The sequence below is a fragment of the Homo sapiens genome, chromosome 10, assembly GCF_000001405.40.
Source record: "Homo sapiens chromosome 10, GRCh38.p14 Primary Assembly".
Classification (NCBI taxonomy): Eukaryota; Metazoa; Chordata; class Mammalia; order Primates; family Hominidae; genus Homo; species Homo sapiens.
The window spans coordinates 43,618,686-43,639,776 of record NC_000010.11 but is presented as its reverse complement, the minus strand read 5'-3'; the positions used below and the strand labels follow the sequence as shown (position 1 = coordinate 43,639,776).

The following is a 21,091-nucleotide window of genomic DNA, read 5'->3' as shown; positions in this document are numbered from 1 at the left end:
TGTGGGACACTACACACATCAAAAGTAGCATACACATTCCTTTCAAGTGCACATGAAACCTTCACCAAAACAGACCATATGCTGGGCCACAAAACAAGTCTCAATAAATTTAAAACATTTGAATTATACAGAGTATATTCTTTGGCCACTACAGCATTAAATTAGTAATCAATAATAATAAAATATCTAGAAAATTCCCCCAATTGTTTGGAAATTAAACTATACACTTCTAAATCACTTATAGTTCAAAGAATAAGTCACAAAGAAAATTGGAAAATATTTTGAACTGAATGATAATACATGTCAAAATCTGAGGGCTGCAGTTAAAGCAGCTCTTTAGGGAATTGTGTAGCTTTAAAATGCCTGGATTAGAAAAGAAAAAACATAAAATCACTATCTGTTACCCACTTGAGAAGCTAGAAAAAGAGTTAATCAAAACCAAAGTAAGAAGATATTTGTTCATAATAGAGTAGATCAATGAAACTGAATATCAGCAAACCAGAAGTTAGCTCTTTGAAAAGGTTAATAAAACTGATAAACTCATACCAAGGCTAATCAAAAAAAAACACAAATTACAAATATCAGTAATAAAAGAAAGGACATCACAACAAATTACAAAGATATTAAAGGAATAATGAAAGCATACTGTGAACAATGTTATGTCGATAAGTTCAACAACAAAAATGAAGTTTACAAAGTCTTTAAAAGACACAACTTGCCAAAATGACACAAGAAGAAACAGAAAATCAGCCGGGTGCAGTGGGTCACACCTGTAATCCTAGCACTTTGAGAGACCAAGACAGGAAGATCACCCTGAGGCCAGGCATTTAAAATTAGCCTGGGCAACATACTGAGACCCTGTCTCCACCAAAAAAAAAAAAAAAAAAAAAAAAAGAAAAGAAAAGAAATAGAAAATCCAATATCCCTATATCTAATAAAGAATTTCAAATACCTTCACACAAAGAAAACTGCAGGCCAAATGGCTTCACTGATAAAACGTAAAACATAAAAAAAAAGTATTCCTACACATTTTTTCAGAAAATGAAAGAGAATATGCACCAAGTCATTGTATAAAATCAGTATTACTTTGACTCTAGAACCAAAGATATCATAAGAAAAGAAAATTATACATCAGCATCCCTCATGAACATAGACACAAAAATACTTAATATTTTAGCAAATCTAATCAAACAATACATAAAATACATAATACATCATGATAAAGTGTAGTTTGTAAAATTAATGTGCCTTTGCAAGTCTAAAATTTTTCCCCATCACAGCACCATATTATATGCCCAAGTAAAGACCCAAATCTGTTTCATCTACCTAGAATGTCGATAATTAAGAAAATGTATATATGTAGGGGTGTGTGTGTGTGTGTGTGTGTGTGTGTGTGTGTGTGTCTGTAGAGCTGATCTTCATTATTCATACATTCCATTCTTACAAATATACCTACTTGCTAAGTTTTATTTGTAACCCTCGAATCAATTTACTGTGCTTTTGTGGTCAGTCATTCACAGACATGCAGAGGACAGTGAGAAATTCGAGTCATGCAACATGCACATTCCCAGCTAAGATCAAACAAAGTATTATTCTGTCTTCTTGTTTCAATTCTCACATTATAAGCAAGTGGCCTTTTCACAATATATTTAGTGCTATGTTTTTCACAGGTTTGTGCTTTTTGTTGATGATTTTGCTGTTTAAAATGACTTCAAATGTAGTGCTGAAGTGCTCTCTGCTGTTCCTAAGCTGTGATGTGCCTTGTGAAGGGAGAAAACACATGTGTTACATAAGCTTTGTTCAGGGATGAGTTATATTCCTCTTGGCAATGAGTTTAAAGTAAATGAATCAACAATATATATTGAATTAGGTTTCTTTAAACAAACATACATAAAACAAGGTTATATGTTGATCAGATTATTAAAATATTGTGACTAGAAGCTTGTAGGAACCTAACCCTGTATTTCTCCTAGGAACAATGGTTCCATATTTGCTAATCAATGTTCACAGAGACTTTACAGAACATAACTACTGTGAATAATGAGAATCAACTATATATGTATACATAATACATACATCTGTATATATATATATGTATCTATATATGTATATATAATACATATATCTGTATAAATGTGCATATATTTGTATAATATGTATAACACATAAAATATACTTAAAACAAATCATAAAATATCAAAATGTTAAATTAAAATTTTAGGCTAAAGTTCCTAATGTATGGGTACATTAAGAATGAGTAAACATATTCCACTGAAGTGCAGAATTTTGCTCTGGTAAAATGAGAATCTAACTTCCCACTGACTTTCATTGTAAAATATCAATGTGTCTGTAAGGTGGGACTGACCCCCATACAATAAAAATCATACACCAGAAAACCAGAAATATTTGATATTAGTATGTAGAAAAATGATTTTTAAATGGGAACTAACATTTTTGAAATGTTTAGGCTTTGCTAGATGCTGAGCTAAGCTTTATATCCTTGGCTCTCACAGCAAACTTGGGTAAGTGCTAATTATAATTCAGGAAACTAAAGTCTAGAGGGGTTAAAAAACTACACAAGGTCATGCAGGTGGTGAATAAAAAAGAATCAAATGGAAATTTTAGAACTGAAAAATAAATTTAAAACTCACTAGATGGCTCAATAGCAGCAAGAATATGGTAGAGCAAGGAATCAATAAATTTGAAAATAGAATAATAGAAATTACCCAATCTGAATGAGAGAGAAAATAGACTAAAAAGAAATGAACAGATTATCAGGGACCTGTGAGACAATAACAAAAGAGATAACATTGGTATCACTGTTATTTTAGAAGAGAAAATAAAGTAAGGCTGAGAAAGTACTTGAAAAAAATAATGGCTGAAAATTGCCCAAATTTGGTGAAAGCCACAAACTTCCAGATTCAAGAAGCAGAGCAAACTTTAAACATGATAAACCCAAAGAAACACACAGCAAGACACATCGTAATCAAACTTCGTTAAATCAATCATGATGAAAAAATCTTGAAAGCAGCTAGAGAGAAACAAAACATAATCTATAGCGAATGAATGATTTGAGTAACAATGGATATGCCACTAGAAATTACAGGGGCCAGAAGGAGTTGGCACACATTTTTCAGGGAGAAGAACTCTCAACCCAAAATTTTATATCAGTGAAAATATATCATTCAAGAACAAAGGGGAAGGAAGGACTCCTCCCTAACTCATTCTATGAGGCCAGCATCATTCTGATGCCAAAACCTGGCAGAGACACAACAAAAAAAGAAAACGTCAGGCCAACATCCTTGAAGAACATCAATGCAAAAATCCTCAACAAAATAGGCTTTATCTCTGGGATGCAAGTTTGGTTGGTCCAACATATGCAAATCAATAAATGTAATTCATCACATCAACAGAACTAAAGACAAAAACCACATGATCATCTATAGTATATGCAGAAAAGGCTTTTGATAAAATGCAACATCCCTTCATGTTAAAAATTCTCAATAACCTAGGTATGGAAGGAACATACCTCAAAATAATAAGAGCCACCTATGACAAGCCCACAGCCTGAATGGGGAAAAGCTGGAAGCAGCATTCCCCTTGAAAACTGGCACAAGACAAGGATGCCCCCTCTCACCACTCCTATTCAACATAATATTGAAAGTCCTGGCCAGAGCAATCAGACAAGAGAAAGAAATAAAAGGCATCCAAATAGGAAGAGAGGAAGTCAAAGTCTCCCTGTTTGCTGATGATAAGAACCTATATCTAGAAAACCCCATAGTCTCAGCCTAAAAGCTCCTTAAGCTGATAAACAACTTCAGCAAAGTCTCAGGATACAAAATCAATATGCAAAAATCGCTAACATTCCTTTACACCAACAACAGTCAAGCTGAGGGCCAAATCAGGAATGCAGTCCCATTCACAATTGCCAAAAAATAAAATAAAATACCTAGGAATACAGCTAACCAGGGAGGTGAAAGATCTTTCTCTACAAGAAGAGCTATAAAACACTGTTCAAAGAAATCAGAGATGACACAAACAAATGGAAAAATATTCCATGCTCATGAATAGGAAAACTCAATATCATTAAAATGGCCATATTGCCCAAAGCAATTTACAGATTCAATGCTATTCCTATTAAACTACCATTGACATTCTTCACAGAACTAGAAAAAACTATTTTAAAATTCATATAGAACCAAAAAAGAGCCTGAAGAGCCAAGGCAATCCTAAGCAAAAAGAACAAAGCTGGAGGCATCATGCTACCTAACTTCAAACTATATTACAGGGCTACAGTAACCAAAACAGCACGGTACTGGTACAAAAACAGAGAGACCAATAGAACAGAATAGAGAAGCCAGAAATAAGGCCACCCACCTACAACTATCCAATCTTCAACAAACCTGATGAAAACAAGCAATGAGGAAAGGATTCTCTATTCAATAAATAGTGCTGGGATAACTGGCTAGCCATATGCAGAAGATTGAATCTGAAACTCTTCCTTACACAATATACAAAAATTAACTCAAGATGGATTAAAGACTTAAATGTAAAACCCGAAGCTATAATAACCCTGGAAGACAACCTAGGCAATACCATTCTGGACATAGAAATGAGCAAAGATTTCATGATAAAGACACCAAAAGCAATTGCAGAAAAAGCAAAAATTGACAAATGGCATCTAATTAAACTAAAGAGCTTCTGTACAGCAAAGGAAACTATCAATAGAGTGAACAGACAGCCTATAGAATGGGAAAAAATTTTTGCAAACTATGCACCTGACAAAGGTCTAATACCCAGCATCTATCAGGAACTTAAACAAATTTACAAGAGAAAAACAAACAACCCATTAAAAAGTGGGCAAACAGATGGGGCACAGTGGCTCACGTCTTTAATCCCAGCGCTTTGGGAGGCTGAGGCAGACGGATCACTTGAGGTAAGGAGTTCAAGACTAACCTGGCCATCCCTCCTAAAAATACAAAAATTAGCCAGGCATGGTGGCATGCACCTGTAATCCCAGCTACTCAGGAGGCTGAGGCAGGAGAATCACTTGAACCTGGGAAGCAGAGGTTGCAGTGAGCCAAGCTAATGCCACTGCACTGCCAGGGCAATAGAGCGAGGCTCTGTCTCAAAAAAAAGAAAAAGAAAAAGTGGACAATGGACATGAACAGACACTTTTCAAAAGAAGACATACATGGGGCCAACAATCACACTTTTTAAAAACTCAACATCACTGATCATTAGAGAAATGCAAATCAAAACCACAATGAGATACCATCTCATGCCAATCAGAATGGCTATCACTAAAAAGTCAAAGCGTAACAGATGCTAGTGAAGGTGTAGATAGAAAAAAGGAATGCTTTTACTCTGTTGTTGGGAGTGTAAATTATTTCAAACATTGTGGAAGACAATATGGTGATTCCTCAAAGACCTATAAACGGAAATACCATTTGACCCAGCAATTAAATTACTAGGTATACATCCAAAGGAATATAAGTCATTCCATTATAAAGACACATGCACACATGTGTTCACTGCAGCACTACTCACAATAGTAAAGACATAGACTCAACCTAAATGTTCATCAGTGATAGACTGGATAAAGAAAATGTGGTACATATACACCATGGAATACTATGCAGCCATAAAAAAGAATGAGATCACATCCTTTGCAGGAACATGGATGGAGCTGGAGACCATTATCCTTAGCAAACTAATGCAGGAACAGAAAACCAAATGCTGCATGTTCTCACTTATAAGTGGGAGCTAAATGATGAGAACACATGGACACATAGAGGAGAACAACACACATTGGGGCCTATTGGAGGTTGGGAGCAGGGAGAGGATCAGGAAAAACTGCTAATGGGTACTAGGCTTAATACTTGAGTGATGAAATAATCTGTACAACAAATCCCCATCACACTAGTTTACCTTCATAACAAACCGGCACATGTACCCGGAACTTAAAAGTTAATTTTTTTAAGTATGAAAAGGAACATGAAGGGGAAATCAATCATTTCTTTCAGATGAAAGAAAACCAACAGAATTTGTCAACAGCAGACCATCCCTAAATTAATGGCTAAAAAAGTTCTTCGAGCAGAAAAAATGATAAAACAAGGAAACTTGAAGCATGAGAAAATAAGAAATAAAAACAGAAAGAGGCCAGGTCCGGTGGCTCATGCCTGTAATCCCACCACTTTGGGAGGCCGAGCTGGGTGGATCACCTGAGGTCAGGAGTTCGAGACCAGCCTGGCAAAAATGGTGAAACCCCGTCTCTACTAAAAATACAAAAATTAGCCAGGTGTGGTGGTGTGTGCCTGTAATCCCAGCTACTCGGGAGGCTGAGATAGGAGAATCGCTTGAACCCAGGAGGCAGAGGCTACAGTGAGCTGAGATCACGCCACTGCACTCCAGCCTGGGCAACAGAGCAAGACTCTATCTCAAAAAAAAATTAGCCTGGCATGGTGGCAGACGCCTGTAATCCCAGCTACTCGGGAGGCTGAGGCAGGAGAATCACTTGAACTTGGAAGGCAAAGGTTGCAGTGAGCCAAGATCGCACCACTGTACTCCAGCCTGGGCAACAGAGTGAGATTGTCTCAAAAAACAAAACAAACAAACAAAAAACAGAAAGAGTAGAAATATGGGTAGATATAATAGATTATCCTTCTCTTAAGTTTTCTAAGCTATGTTAGGCTTCTGAAGCAATAACTATAACACTGATGTGGTTCTCAATGTGTGCAGAGGAAACATTCAGAGCAATTTCACTATAAAAAGAGTGAGGAAGGGAGCTTGGAGGTACACATATGGTTTATTTCCTTAACAGGATCAAACCACACATAATGATCTACATCAGGCGGGTCTAGTCTTTTGGCTTCCCTGGGCCACATTGGAAGAAGAATTGTCTTGAGCCACACATAAAATACGCTAACATTAACAATAGCTAAAGAGCTTTAAAAAAAATCGCCAAAAAAAATCTCATAATGTTTTAAGAAAGTTTACGAATTTGTGTTGGGCCGCATTCAAAGCTATCTGGGCCGTATGCGGCCATGGGCCATGGGTTGGACAAGCTTGATCTACACATTTACTTTTTCCCCTGAAAATATTCTGATTTTCTACATTACTTCATCTAGATCTGCCTGGATTGTTAATTGACAATTATGAGCTGTATGTCAGGAAATGAGGACAAAGATTAAATATATATATTTCACAATATCACAGGTTATATTTCATTTACAAGTTTCTCTGTTGATTTATTAGCTTAGAAGTGTTTACTATCACAAACGATGCCGCAGGGAACATCTTTATGCATATCTTTTCATGTAACTGTGAACAGTTAAACATAAAATACATTCGTAGAAGTAGAATTGCTAGATTAAGTTATATATACTTTAATGGTTGTTGTTGTTGTTGTTTTGAGACAGGGTCTCACTCTGTCGCCCAGGCTGGAGTGTAGTGATATGATCACAGCTCACTGCAGCCTCAACCTCCCAGGCTCAAGCGATCCTCTCACCTCAGCCTTCCAACTACCTGGGACCCCAGGCATGCACCACCACACCCAGCTATTTTTCTATTTTTTGTAGAGACAGGGTCTCCCTATGTTGCCCAAGCTGGTCTCGAACTCCTGGACTTAAGCCATCCTCCCACCTCGGCCTCCCAAAGTGCTGGGATTGCAGGTGTGTGCCACCGTGCCTGGCCCTTTAATTGTTTCATATTAAAATTTTTTTTATTTAAAAAATTATTTCCAGAGCTCCTTAGGTTTGAACGTGTGGATTAAACATTAACAGACTTTTTTTAAACAAACTATCCAACCTCATAATCAAATTTTCCCAGGAAATAAAAGGTGGTGACAAGTAAACTCCAGAAGAGAACCACTGGATCTCCTCTGCCACAGGGTGGAAATTTTAGCTTAAACCAGCCAAGGGAGCACTGTTCCTGAGAGTTCTTAGGGGTTAGGGTCACAGATAGAAACAGAGAATTCAGAAAGGGAGGGAAATAAACACAAGGTGGGACAAAATTCAGAAGCAGCGGCTGCGACTGTTCAGCACTGTGAATATGACTTCCATCAACCCCAAAGAGGCTCTGAGACCAAACACAAACTGGGCCGGCGCTTTTGCTAAAGTCCATAAACATCAACACACAATTTACTCCACTGTTCCGTAGTTTACATGTGTTGTGTTATATATGTTTGTGTATACAAAATATTAAATATATTATTAAATATAATGTTTAAAAGGTGAACTGTTAAAAGCAAGGATTACATAGTGTTTATCTTCTGGAGGGGTGCTCATAATTTTCTTTTTTTTACAATCCAGAGGTCTTCTATTTTATTTTTTTTAACACCGATTATGCCATGAATCAATCCATAGGGAAGAGGTTCCAGCAGCTCAAGCTCCTTCCCATTTGTTCTCACACAGTGCGCTTCTCTGGGCAGAGCAGACTGGCACTTCTGCTGAATCCAGGTACCTTTCTCTTTGGCTTCCTTCTTTTTCTGATCATTTTCCTTCACAAGTTTCAGGAAGCTAGCTCAGCTCTCAGAGCGCTTAAAGTGCTCAATACCCACATGAATTCTCTTGGCAAGAACTTGCCCTTAACTTGTGTGTTTACAACAATGCCGACGGCCTGCTGCGTAACACTGTAGACTCTTCCAGTTCTGCCATGATAACACTTGTGGGGCATTCCTTCTTGAACAGTGCCCACTCCTTTAATGTCTACAATATCATCTTTCTTATAGATTCACATATACGTGACCAAAGGGAACAACTCCATGCTTCCTAAAAGGCCTAGAAGACATCTACCAGGAGCCTCTCCTCTTTCCCTTTGTGTTTGTCATTTTGTCGAATTACTGGAAGACGGTGGTTCTGGCCAAAAGGGCCATAATAAACTTTTATTTTCTTGTTTCTGTGTTTTTCTATAATAAACATACATTATTTTTATAACCAAAAATGACCAACAACATACATTAATTTTCTCTTTAATAAACTTTATCTGATTTTCCCATTAAAGCTAAACATGCTCCTTACCACTTCCAAAGAAAAAGTTATACTTAAAAAAGCCAATAATCTCCCTACTCCAAAATCCCAAGTGTTACATCATTCCAAATAACATCACTCCAAAGTTACACACACACACACACACACACACACACACACCACAGTATACTGGTCGTGTGTATTTCTATATACTATTTGATATATATACTTACACAAACCATGGAATTTGAACATATTTTCTTATTTCATTCTTTTTAAACAAAAAAGGACCACTCTATACACATCGTTTGGAAGTTTAGTTTTTCTTTTTTCATTAATAAACGTATCTATCTTTACATTCTAGTAACATATTACTGCAAACTTAGCAGGTTGAAAAACACAAATACATTATCTCACAATTTTGCGTGGTTCTGAAGTTAAGGAGGGGCCAAGCTGGGAACTCTGCTCAGGGTCTCACCAGCCTGAAATCAGGTTGCCAGCCAAGCCGTGTCCATCTGGTCTTAACTAGAGAAGATCCCTCCTTAGCCCATTCAGATGGTGGCACAATGCATTTCCCGATGGCTGTAGTACTAAGGGTCCCAGCTTCTTACTATTAGCTGAAGTTTGCCCTGAGGTCCTGCAGGCCACTTAAACTTCTCTGCCACCACATGGCAGTTTGCCTCTTCAAGTCCAACAGAAGAGAATTTATCTTCCAAGTCTGCTAAGAGTCTGCTTATCTTCCAAGTCTGCTGAGAGTCTCCAGAGTCTTATATAACATAACCACCATAGGAGTGGCATCCCATCACCTCTGCCATATTCTATCAGAGGCAAGTCTCTGGTTATTCCCACAAAGGGAGAGGTTACACAAGGGCGTGACCCATTGAAGGTAACTTTAGTGTGTTACTTTTCTAAGGATTCTATAATAAAGTACAACAAACCAGGTGGCTTAAATAACAGAAATTTATTATCTGGCAGTTCTGGAGGCTAGAAGTCCAAAATCGAGGCCGTGCTCCCTCTGAAACTGTAGCGAGAGCCCCTCCTTGCCTGTCCCTAGCTCTGGTGGTTTGCTGTCAACCCTTGGCGCTCTTGGCTTGCAGCTGCAGGACTTCACTTTCCGCCTGTGCCATCACATGGCCTTCTCCCATGTGTCTGTGTCTCTACATTTCTCCACCTCTTATATGGACACCAGTCACATTGGATTAAAGGCCCACCCTATGCCACTATGATGTCATCCTAACTAATTACATCTGCAAAGATCCTATTTCCAAGCAGGACATGGTCTGAGGTACTGGCAGTTAGGACTTCAACATATCTTTTTGGAGGACAGAATTGAACCCATAACACTTGGGGTGTATCCTCCACGGTATCAAAAACATTCTTCTGCAGAAATACATATAAATCCAACCTAGTGGTTCCTGAGGACATCAGCATCACCTGGGAACTTATAGGAAATGCAAATCCTCAGGGCCTATCCCAGACCTACTGACCCCGAAACTGCGGAGATTGCGGAAAAGGGAGGGAGAGACAGCACACTGTGTTTTAACAAGCCTACAGCCCATTCTTCTTACCAGCTGCACAGTTTGACTCTCAACCCTACCAGACTCTCTAGGCAGACCCAAAACTCCCTTCAGGGCAATAAAAGAGCAGGAAGAAAATTCCAAGCAGCAGGTGGCCTGGATTACCCTACTCCTTACACAGGGGGTTGAGACAGTGCATGTCTGTCCTCCTTTTCCACGCCAAGTTCCTCATTGCTAGGGCTTCCATTCAAGAATCAATGCCACAGAAAACTAGAAAAGTCAACAAGGATGAATAAATACATGATTTCTTACCTAATTTTGATGTCAAGTCACAGGAAGGAGTACAGACAAGTCAACCATGCCAAAAAGGCCCCACACATGCAAACTCAAAGGAACATCTTCATCTTCCCTTTTATCATGGGCACAGGTCTCTCCCAAAGTCCCTTCCACACCATCCACCAAGTCCAGTTCACCAGATCACCTGTAGCCCTGCCCTGATTTTGTTTACTTTACTTGCATTTGGGGTCATTATGATGTCGTTGCCATAGGGTCAGGGACTTAGTGACAACAGAATGTACAATCCAGCCATGACCAAGACTTGTGTTTCTGCAGTGCTGAATCTCACCTTACTCTTAGAGAGCCTCATTCCTTTGATTAAAGAATGCAAATCACTCTACAATTCTGCTTGTTTTCTAATTTCTATCTCTTCCCAGTAATTCTGGCCAGCCTGCCTAGTTTTTCTTGATTTTACTGATTATACTCCTTTTATGTTTTCAGGCCACTAACCTCCCTAGCTTTGCCATAGTCCGAGATGGCGACTGTAATCAATACATCTCATTCAACACAAGCTACAGATGTGATGGAAAAACTTGTTTTACTATTACCGTAACCTTTCAGGAAGTTTCTTGGGGTTTTGCCTATACAAACATCTCATATAATCCTGACTATAGCCTGTTGTGACCCTGTCTCTGCTTGCTTCAAGGCAATACTCTCTCCCTCCCTCTTAACTCCAACGTTGAGTCTCTTGCCTTAAAGCCATTGTACACATTATTCCTCTTTGCAGCAATCATCTATCACCTGGGTCACCCCTTGAAGATTTTAGTTCCTGTATCATTATCACTCACTCCAGCTCTACTGTCATCACACTTGGAGTGCTTATAAATGACTCATCACTTTTCCTCCTTACTTCCAATGAACTTCCTCTCCAGAAGACCAGAGCCACTCACCTCCATCCATGATCATATTTGTAACTTCTGCATTATTAATCCAACAATGGTCTCAATTTTAATCATCTCATTTTCTGATTATCAACTCCTGTCTTTGCATCTCACTTCCTCTAGTGAACTAAAGCCAATAAATTGTCAGCTGCATCAATAATTCATGGATCCTGCTACTCTCCCACTACTCTTCAACCTTCCTTACCAGCTTACATTATATGGTCCCTCTTTGAATCAATCACCTGCTTGCAAACACCCTCAACTCCCATATCTTGCTATTATTTTTAAAAACAGTTTTATCAAGGCATAATTCACATACAATAACACTCACTTATTTTAGGTGTACAATTCAATTATTTTTAGAAAATGTGCAAAGCTGAACAACTAACATTGCAATCTATCATTAGAACATTTGCACTACACCATTAACAAACTTCATTTCCATTTGCAATCATCCCTCATTGCTACCCTCTGCTCCACGGGACCATAAATCTAATATCTGTTTCTATAGACTTGCCTTTTCTGGACATTTCATATAAAAGGAATTATACAATATATGGCTTATTTCATTTAGTATAATGTTTTTGAGGTCCATCCATATAGTAACATGTATCAGTACTTTATTCCTTTTATTGTTGAGTAATATTTCATTGTGTGAATATAGCAGATATTGTTTATCCAATCATAAGTTGATGGACATTTTGGTTGTTTCCAGTTTTTGGCTATTTTGAAAAATGACGGCTGGATGCGGTGGGTCACGCCTGTAATCCTAGCACTTTGGGAGGCCGAGGCAGGTCGATCACCTGAGGTCAGGAGTTCAAGACCAGTCTGGCCAAAATGATGAAACTCTGTCTCAAATAAAAATACAAAAATTAGCCAGGCATGATAGTGCATGTTTGTAATCCCAGCTACTCCGGAGGCTGAGGCAGGAGAATCGCTTGAACCTGGGGGCAGAGGTTACAGTGAGCCGAGATCGCGCCACTGCACTCCAGCCTGAGTGACACAGCAAGACTCCATCTCAAAAAAAAAAGAAAGAAAGAAAGAAAAATGATGCTATGAATATTTACATATAAGTTTTTATGTGGACATATATTTTAATTTTCTTGGGTATACCTCAGAGTAGAATCACTGGGTCATATGGTAAAACTGTATTTAGCATTTTAAGAAACTGGAAAACTGTTGTCAAAATGGCATTTTACATTTCCACCAACAATGTATGAAGGCTCCAGTTTCTTCACATTCTCCCCTGTATTTGTCCATCCTGTGTTGCTATAAAGCAAGCTTGTCCAACCTGCAGCCCAACACAAATGCATAAACTTTCTTAAAACATTATAAGAATTTTGCAATTTTTTTTTAGCTCATCAGCTATCATTAGCGTTAGTGTATTTTATGTGGGGCCCAAGACAATTCTTCCAATGTGGCCCAGGGAAGCCAAATGATTGGACACCCCTGCTAAAAAGTAATACACAAGTCTGGGTAATCTGTAAAGAAAGGAGGTTTATTTGGCTCACAATTCCGCAGGCTGTACAAGCATGGTACCAGCATCTGCTCAGCTTCTGGTGAGGCCTTAAGAAGCTTACAATCATGGCAGAAGGTGAGGGGGAGCCAGCACATCACATGGTGAGAAAGAGAGTGGGGTGGCAGTGGGGGAGGTCCCAGGCTCTTTTAAACAATTAGATCTCAAGGTAACTCATTACCACAGGGAGTGCACCAAGCCATTCATGAGGGATCCACTCCTATGACCCAAATACCTCCCACCAGGCCCCACCTCCAACACTGGAGACCACATTTCAACATGATAATTGGAAGGAACAAATATCCAAATTATACCATCCCTCAACACTTGTTAGTGGATTTTTATTACAGACAACACTCCCTGGGGCATAAAGCATCAGTGGCATCTCATTGTGTTTTAATTTACATTTCTCTAATATCTAACGATGTTTTCATGTGCTTATTGAACTTTCTTTTTTTTTTTTTTTTTTTTTTGAGACAGAGTCTCGCTCTGTCACCAGGCTGGAGTGCTATGGTGCGATCTCAGCTCACTGCAACCTCCACCTCCTGGGTTCAAGTGATTCTCCTGCCTCAGCCTCCCGAGTAGCTGGGACTACCACACCCAGCTAATTTTTGTATTTTTAGTAGAGATGGGGTTTCACCATGTTGGCCAGGCTGGTCTCGAACTCCTGACCTCGTGATCTGCCTGCCCCAGCCTCCCAAAGTGCTGGGATTACAGGCATGAGCCACCACGCCCGGCCTCTTTTTATTTATTTATTTATTTATTTATTTTAGATGGAATCTTGCTCTGTTGCCCAGGCTGGAGTACAATGGCGCCATCTCGGCTCACTGCAACCTCCACCTCCCAGGTTCAAGCAATTCTCCTGCCTCAGCCTCCCAAGGAACTGGAATTACAGGCGCATGCCTATTTCAAGTAAAACTATGATCAAATAAATGTGCATGCCTTTTCTATTAATCTGCCTTTTGTCAGTGATTTTCAGCAAACTTTCAGAGGGCAATGGGGAAGTTTTCCCTTCGCTTTTACATCCCAAACCAAATTTATAGTTATACCTCTTATATTTAGGTCAATTATCTTTCTTGATTTTTATGTATGATGTAAAATGACTAAACGTATATTTTTTTACATGAGGATATCCAATTATTCCAGCACCATTTGTTGAAAAACCTATCCTTTCTCCACATTGAATTGCCTTGGCACATCTGTCAAAAATCCATTGGTAATGGGCTCAGGTGATCCTCCCGTCTCAGCCTCCCAAGTAGCTGGGACTACAGAGATCACTTGAGCCCATTAAAAAAAAAATCCAATGATGGTGGGCCCGGTGGCTCACACCTGTAATCCCAGCACTTTGAGAGGTTGACGCAAGAGGATTGCTTGAGCCCAGGAGTTCAAGACTAGCCTGATCAACATAGGGAGACCCCATTTCTATAAAAATATTTTAAAATTAGCCAGTGTTGTGTTGCACATCTGTAGTTCCACCTACTCAGGAGGCTGAGGTGGGAGGATCGTTTGAGCCTGGGAGGTCGAGGCTGCAGTGAGCCATGATCTTACCACTGCATTCCAGCCTGGGCAATAGAGTGAGAGACCCTGTCTGAAAAAAAAAAATCCACTGACCAAAAACATAAGGGTTTATTTCTAGAATCTCTATTCTGTTTGATGGGTCTATATGTCTACTTTTATGCTATGACCACAGTGTCTTGATAAATGTAGTAGCTGTAACATTGTGAAATACATAATATATAAATCATTTCCTAGCATACAACTCCTAAAACCCTTAGAAACACCAAAGTGATGTCTTATTGTATGTTAATGCATTGACAGCCCCCCAGGTAGCTTCAGGATGGGGCTGTCACCATAAAGACCAAGGGAGGATTACAGGGTTGGGACTTTCAGGCCTACCTCCTCTGGAGAGGGTTGAGGGACTGAAGGTTATGTTGATCACCAATGGCCAGTGGTTTAAACAATCATGGCTATGTAATGAAGCCTCCATAATAACCTCAAGGACAGGGTTCAGAGAGCTTCTAGATAGCAAAACCTATGGAGGTTCTGGAGGGTGGCACACTCCAGGAGGGCATGAAAGCTCCATACCCCTTCCCACATGCCTCACCCTAGGCACCTCCTCATCACTTTCCTTTGTAATATCCTTAAGAATAAACCAGTAAATTTAAGTAGGTGTTTCCCTGAGTTCTGTGAGCTGTTCTAGCAAATTAATTGTGTGGTGACAGCAGTTATGTAAATGGAACCCAAAGAGGTGATTGTGGGGGCCCCAACTTGAAGCTGGTGGGTCAGAAGTTTTGGTGGCCAGGGCTTACCTCCAGAATGCCTCCAGATGCACCTAGCATCTGAGAGGTTGTAGGCAGTCTTATAGGCTTGAGCCCTCAACCTGTGGGGTCTGACACTATCTGTCAGGAAAAATCCCCACACATTTGGTCACAGAAGTCTTCTGTGTTGATTGCTGTCGTGGTGTGAGGGCAGATGGAAAAGTTTGTTTTTTCCCCCTTAGTAGTTGTATAGTACGCTCTGAAACTGGGATGAATTTTGTTCTTTGTTCTTTTTCAAGATTGTTTTGACCATTCTCAATTCTTCTTTTAGTATAAATTGCAGAATCAGTTTGTCAATTGTTCAGAACAACTCTGCTGCAAATGTGATAGGTGCTGCATTGAACCTATAGATCAATTTGAAGAGTTCTGCAATCTTAAAATTTTGAGCTTCAACTCCATTAATGCAGAGTGTCCCTGCATTTATTTAGATTTTTAAAAATTTCTTTCTGGAATGGTTGTAGTTTTCAGTGTACAAGTCTCACATTTATTTCGTTAAATTTATCTCAAATATTTTATTGTTGCTATGGTTTGAATTTGTTCCCCCAAAATCATGTGTTGGAAACTTATTCCCAATGCAAGTTTGGGGAGGTGGGGCCTAATGAGAGATGATAAGGCCATGTGGGTACAGTGAATGGATTAATGCTGTTGGCACGGCAGTGGGTTTGTTACAAAAGGAGGGAATTCAACCCCTTTTACTTTCACTTTCACTTTCTCTCTCTCACTCTCTTACCTTCCACCATGGGATGACATAGCGAGAAGTTCCTCACTAGATGCCAGAAACTTAATACTGGACTTCCCACCTTCCAGAACTGTGAACTGCAGTTTATCAATATTTTTCTGCATGGATTATGGTTTTTGTGTTATGTCTAAGAATTCTGTACCTAACCCAGATCATGAAGATTTTCTCCTGTGTTTGCTTCTAAAATTTTTACAGGTTTGTGCTCTACTTTCAGCTCTATAATCCTTTCTGAGTTAATCTATGTGTAAAGTGTGAAGTATTGGTCAAAGATCATTTTTAATACATGTCTAAATGCTCCAATACCATCTGTTGAAAAGACTATGCTTTCTCTATTGAATTGTTTTTGCACCCACGTTTAAAATTTTTTAACTAGTCATATTTCTGTGGGTCCATTCTTGACTATTTTGTTCCACTGATGTGTATTTCTATACCTCCACCAATACCACAGTCTTGATTACTGTATCTTTAGAGTCTTAAATTGTGTAAAGTGAGTCAAAGCTTTTTCTAGTTTTGTGAAAACTTGTTTTAGCTATTCCAGTTCCTTTGCCTTGGATAACACTTTAGAATCCACTTATCTACATCTACAAAACAATCCTTCCAGAATTTTGACTGATATTTTGTTAAATCTAAAGATCAATTTATGGAGAACTGACATCTTGACTATGGTGAATCTTCCCATTCATGAATATGACATGTCTCTCCATTTATTTAGGTCTTTTATTACTTTCATCAGCATTTTATAGTTCTCAGTGTACAGGTACTATGCATGTTTTGATTTATACCTAAGGATTTCATTATTTTATGAACTATTGCAAATGACAGTTTTTAATCTCAGCTTTCAATTGTACATTGCTAGTGTGTAGAAACAATTTTTGTATGTGGCCTTGGGTCCTATAATCTTGCTAAACTCACTTATTAGTTATTAGATTTTGTTGTTGTTGTTGTTGTTGTTGTTTTCTTTTTGAAACAGTCTTGCTCTGTCACCCAAGCTGGAGTGCAGTGGTGCAATCTCAGCCCACTGCAACCTCCACCTTCTGGGTTCAAGCAATTCTCCTGCCTCAGCCTCCCAAATAGCTGGGACTACAGGCATGCACTTTAATGCCTGGCTAATTTTTGTAATTTTATCCAGATGGGGTTTCACCATGTTGCCCAGGCTGGTCTGAACTCCCAGCCTTATGTGATCCACCTGCCTCGGGCTCCCAAAGTGCTGGGATTACAGGCATTGAGCCACCACGCCTGGCCAGGGATTTGCTTTTTATAGCTTCCTTTGTATGTTCTACATATTCAATCATGTCCTTTGTAAACAGAGACAGTTACAGTCTTTCCTTTACAATCTGTATGATTTTTATTTCCTTTTTTTGATTTATTGCACTGGCCAGGATTGCCAGTCCTATGTTAAATAAGAGTAGTGACAGCAGATATCCTAACCTTGTTTTCATCTTATAGGGAAAATATTCAGTCTTTCACCATTAAGTATGAGGTTAACTGTAGGTTTTTCATAGTTGGCCTCTATGTGGTTGAGGAACTTCCCTTCTACTAGCTTGCCAAGAGCTTGTATCATGAATGGATATTGTATATTGTCAAATGCTTTTTCTGCATCAGTTGGTATGATCAGGTGGTTTTTCCTCTTTGGTCTTTAATCTTCTTTAATGTAGATTACATTGATTGATTTCCAAACACTGAACCAGCCGTAACCCCATTTGATCATGATTCTATATTATTAATTCTATATATTGCTGGATTTTATTCGCTAATATTCTATTCAAGATTTTTGCTTCTATGCTCATAAGGAATATTGGTCAGCTTTCTTTTATTGTCCTGTCTTGTCCCATTTTGAATAAACACCCTATTCTTTTAAATGAAAACTTCTTAAATGAAATACATTACCAAAAATCCCATAATTATCATTACCATTTTGAAATATTTTATTCGTTTTCATATGTTAAAGTAGGTTTCCTCAATAAGACAAGCCAGTACCCAGGCTTTGTTCATGGTGTTTGACAGTGGGTAAAACCACTGGTCCCTCTTGAGCCTTGTGCACACGATATAGATGATGGTGGAGCATGTTCTTTTGAGATCTTTAATCAATTCTGTAAGAGACCTCTCATATATATATATGAGAGAAATTTTTTTATTTTATATTTTTATGCAGAAATTTTAATTTTATATTTTAAAAAAATATATAGGTGAAATATATGTATATACATGTGTACATATATATGTGTGCATGTACATATATACATACTATACATTTTTAAAAAAAAACAGAAATGAGTATCACTAACACAGCACCAGCTAACATTTACCTTGCACTTTGCATCTGGTATTCAGCTAAGCACTTTATAAAATTACCTCCTTTAAACAAAACTAGTTTTTTTTTTATCTGTACATGGTAGACAATTCAACAGGCTACATAACTAGCCAGTGGTTTCACAAAGTATATTAAGAGGTAAGCTGCATCTTGCACCCTGACTCCAAAGATTATACTTCAAAGTTGCTGCCATAAGCTTTCAGATACTGTCCTGTAACCTATTTCTTCATCCAACATATCCACTTTATCCTTTTTAATGGTTGTATCATATTCCATGATAGATCATATTTTCCAAAATTATTGCAATAATATATTCCATCGAATATACTTTTCTGGCAATGTGACTCTGATACTCCTCCAAAGAAGTATGTTCTATGTTCCCTCCCCTTTGAGTTTGGACAGGCTTGACTATGGAGAAAGAGACACTGAATTTTTTGTTGTCGTTATTGTTTGTTTGTTTGAGACAAGGTCTCACTCCAGTTGCCCAGACTGGAGTGCAGTGGTGCAATCTTGGTTCACTGTAACCTCTGCCTCCCAGGCTCAAGCAGTCATCCCACCTCAGCCTCCCCAGCACTACAGGCACGTGCCACAGACCTGGCTAATTTTTTTGTATTTTTTTGTAGAGACAGGGCTTCACCAAGTTGCCAAGACTGGTCTTGAACTCCTGGCCCCAAGCAATCCACCCACCTCAGCCTCTAAAAGTGCTGGGATTACAGGTATGAGCCACCACGCCCAGCCGAGATGCTGTTATTTCTGATGCTAGATCACAACAAGCAATAACAGTTTCTCTGCCTGACTCCTCAGAACCCAGGCACCAAGCTGAGGAGGCCTATGCAGCCACATAAAAAGGTCACATGTAGGTGTTCATATGCAACTGCCCTAGCTGAGGTCCCAGCCAACAGCATCAACCACCCAATTTGTGATGGAGCCTTCAGTTGTGTTGTCTGATAGCAACATGCGAACCATACATGTAGGCCACATATGTAAATTTAAATTTTCTAGTAGTCACATTAAAATTCAATTTTAATACATTGAGTTTAATCTATCTAAAATATAATCAATATAAAAACCATTAAGATAGTTTAGTTTCTTTTTTTATACAAAGTCTTCGAAATCTGATGCACATTTTATACTTACAGTCCTATTTTCAATCAACACACTAGTCTCCATTCAGACTGGCCTCACTTCAACTGCTCAGTAGCCACTTGTGGCTATCATAGTGTGGCCGCTTCAAATGACCCCACTGACCAACTGTTGATTCCAACCTTGAGTTTTCCCAACTGAAACCCCAGACATCATGGAGTTACAAAGCTGTTCCTGCTGTGCCCTTTCTGAATCCTTGACTCACAAAATCTGTGAACACAAATACTGGCAACTAAGTGTGTGACGGTTTATTATACATCTGTAGTAACTGGGATGCTAGCCTATGAGAGTTTCATAACTTATTTAAACATTTCCCTACTTAGATATTTCTCCCACCTCTTTCCAGGATATTAGTATAACCAATGACGATGAGCAATACAAGCTCTGTAAGTTAGTCAAATTATTTCCTTAAATGTTTGAGGGTGGCATTTCTGGGTCAATTAGAACATACATTTACATTTACATTCATGTTGCCAAACTGTTATCCAAAGCAGCTTAACCAGTTCTTACCAACAATCATCTATGTGTGTGCAGCCGTGCTTCTTTTGATTAAATCTGGCCCTCTGCAATCATCAGTTGAATACTTAGATCCTTTCTTTTCTATTTTATAACATTCCTAAGTTTGCTTTATTGCTTTTACATTGTGAACTATATCCATGATATATTTTTATCACAAAATATTCAGGCAATGCATTGACTATACAAAAGAAGTACTATACCATTATTCTTTACTTTGGATCTTTTTCAACTTAATGTCATAGACAACTTTGCCTGTCAGCTCATAAAAGTCTAACTCACCAAATGTTAATTAATTAAAGGACTGTCTTTTAATTAAATGTTGAGTGACTACATGGTAGTCCAAAGACTGCATGTATCTTCAACATTCCTCTGATGACAGATATTACAGTGATTCCACCTCTTCATTACTACAATGCTGTAAAGACCACCTTTACTTTTTAATTAGATTTTAAGTAGAAATGTTAGGTCAAAAGGTCAAAGTTGGTAGGCATAATCATTTATATTTCTTTTTCTGACAACTGTACATTCACATCCAAGACCATTTCTCCACTGGAATTTTTATATTTATGTATTTTAAGGACTCTCTAAATAGTCTAAGTGTTACCTGTTAAATATGATGATGGTAATATTTTCTCCAAGTCCAGCCCTTTGTATTTTAATACTACGAAGCCTCTAGTTGCAGAAACTAAAAGCTTTTAGTTTCTGTGTGGCATTTGTCTTATTTTTATGACTTCTGAGTTTTCTTATATAGGAAGATAACTATACTAAGTTACAGAAGATACATGAATGATGCTTGATTAAATATTTCATTTCAAAGAACTCAGTCAAAGTCATAATTTCAC

The 21,091-nt window shown here is 38.4% G+C and overlaps 2 long non-coding RNA genes and 1 pseudogene across 2 annotated transcripts in view; 1 reads left to right on the top strand and 2 right to left on the bottom strand.

Annotated features, from left to right (window-relative positions):
• The window catches only part of ZNF32-AS3 (ZNF32 antisense RNA 3), a 45,883-nt gene extending 34,923 nt beyond the window's left edge, over window positions 1-10,960 (bottom strand). The window contains exon 1 of the long non-coding RNA NR_038867.1: window positions 10,799-10,960. This is a non-coding gene — a long non-coding RNA (ZNF32 antisense RNA 3). The remainder of the gene's footprint in view (window positions 1-10,798) is intronic.
• Window positions 8,293-8,995, top strand: LOC124902416 (uncharacterized). The gene is made up of 2 exons (XR_007062132.1): window positions 8,293-8,459; window positions 8,732-8,995. It is a non-coding gene; the product is annotated as an uncharacterized LOC124902416 (long non-coding RNA).
• RPL21P88 (ribosomal protein L21 pseudogene 88) lies at window positions 8,363-8,830 on the bottom strand (annotated as a pseudogene).
• Window positions 10,961-21,091: the final 10,131 nt, after the last annotated feature.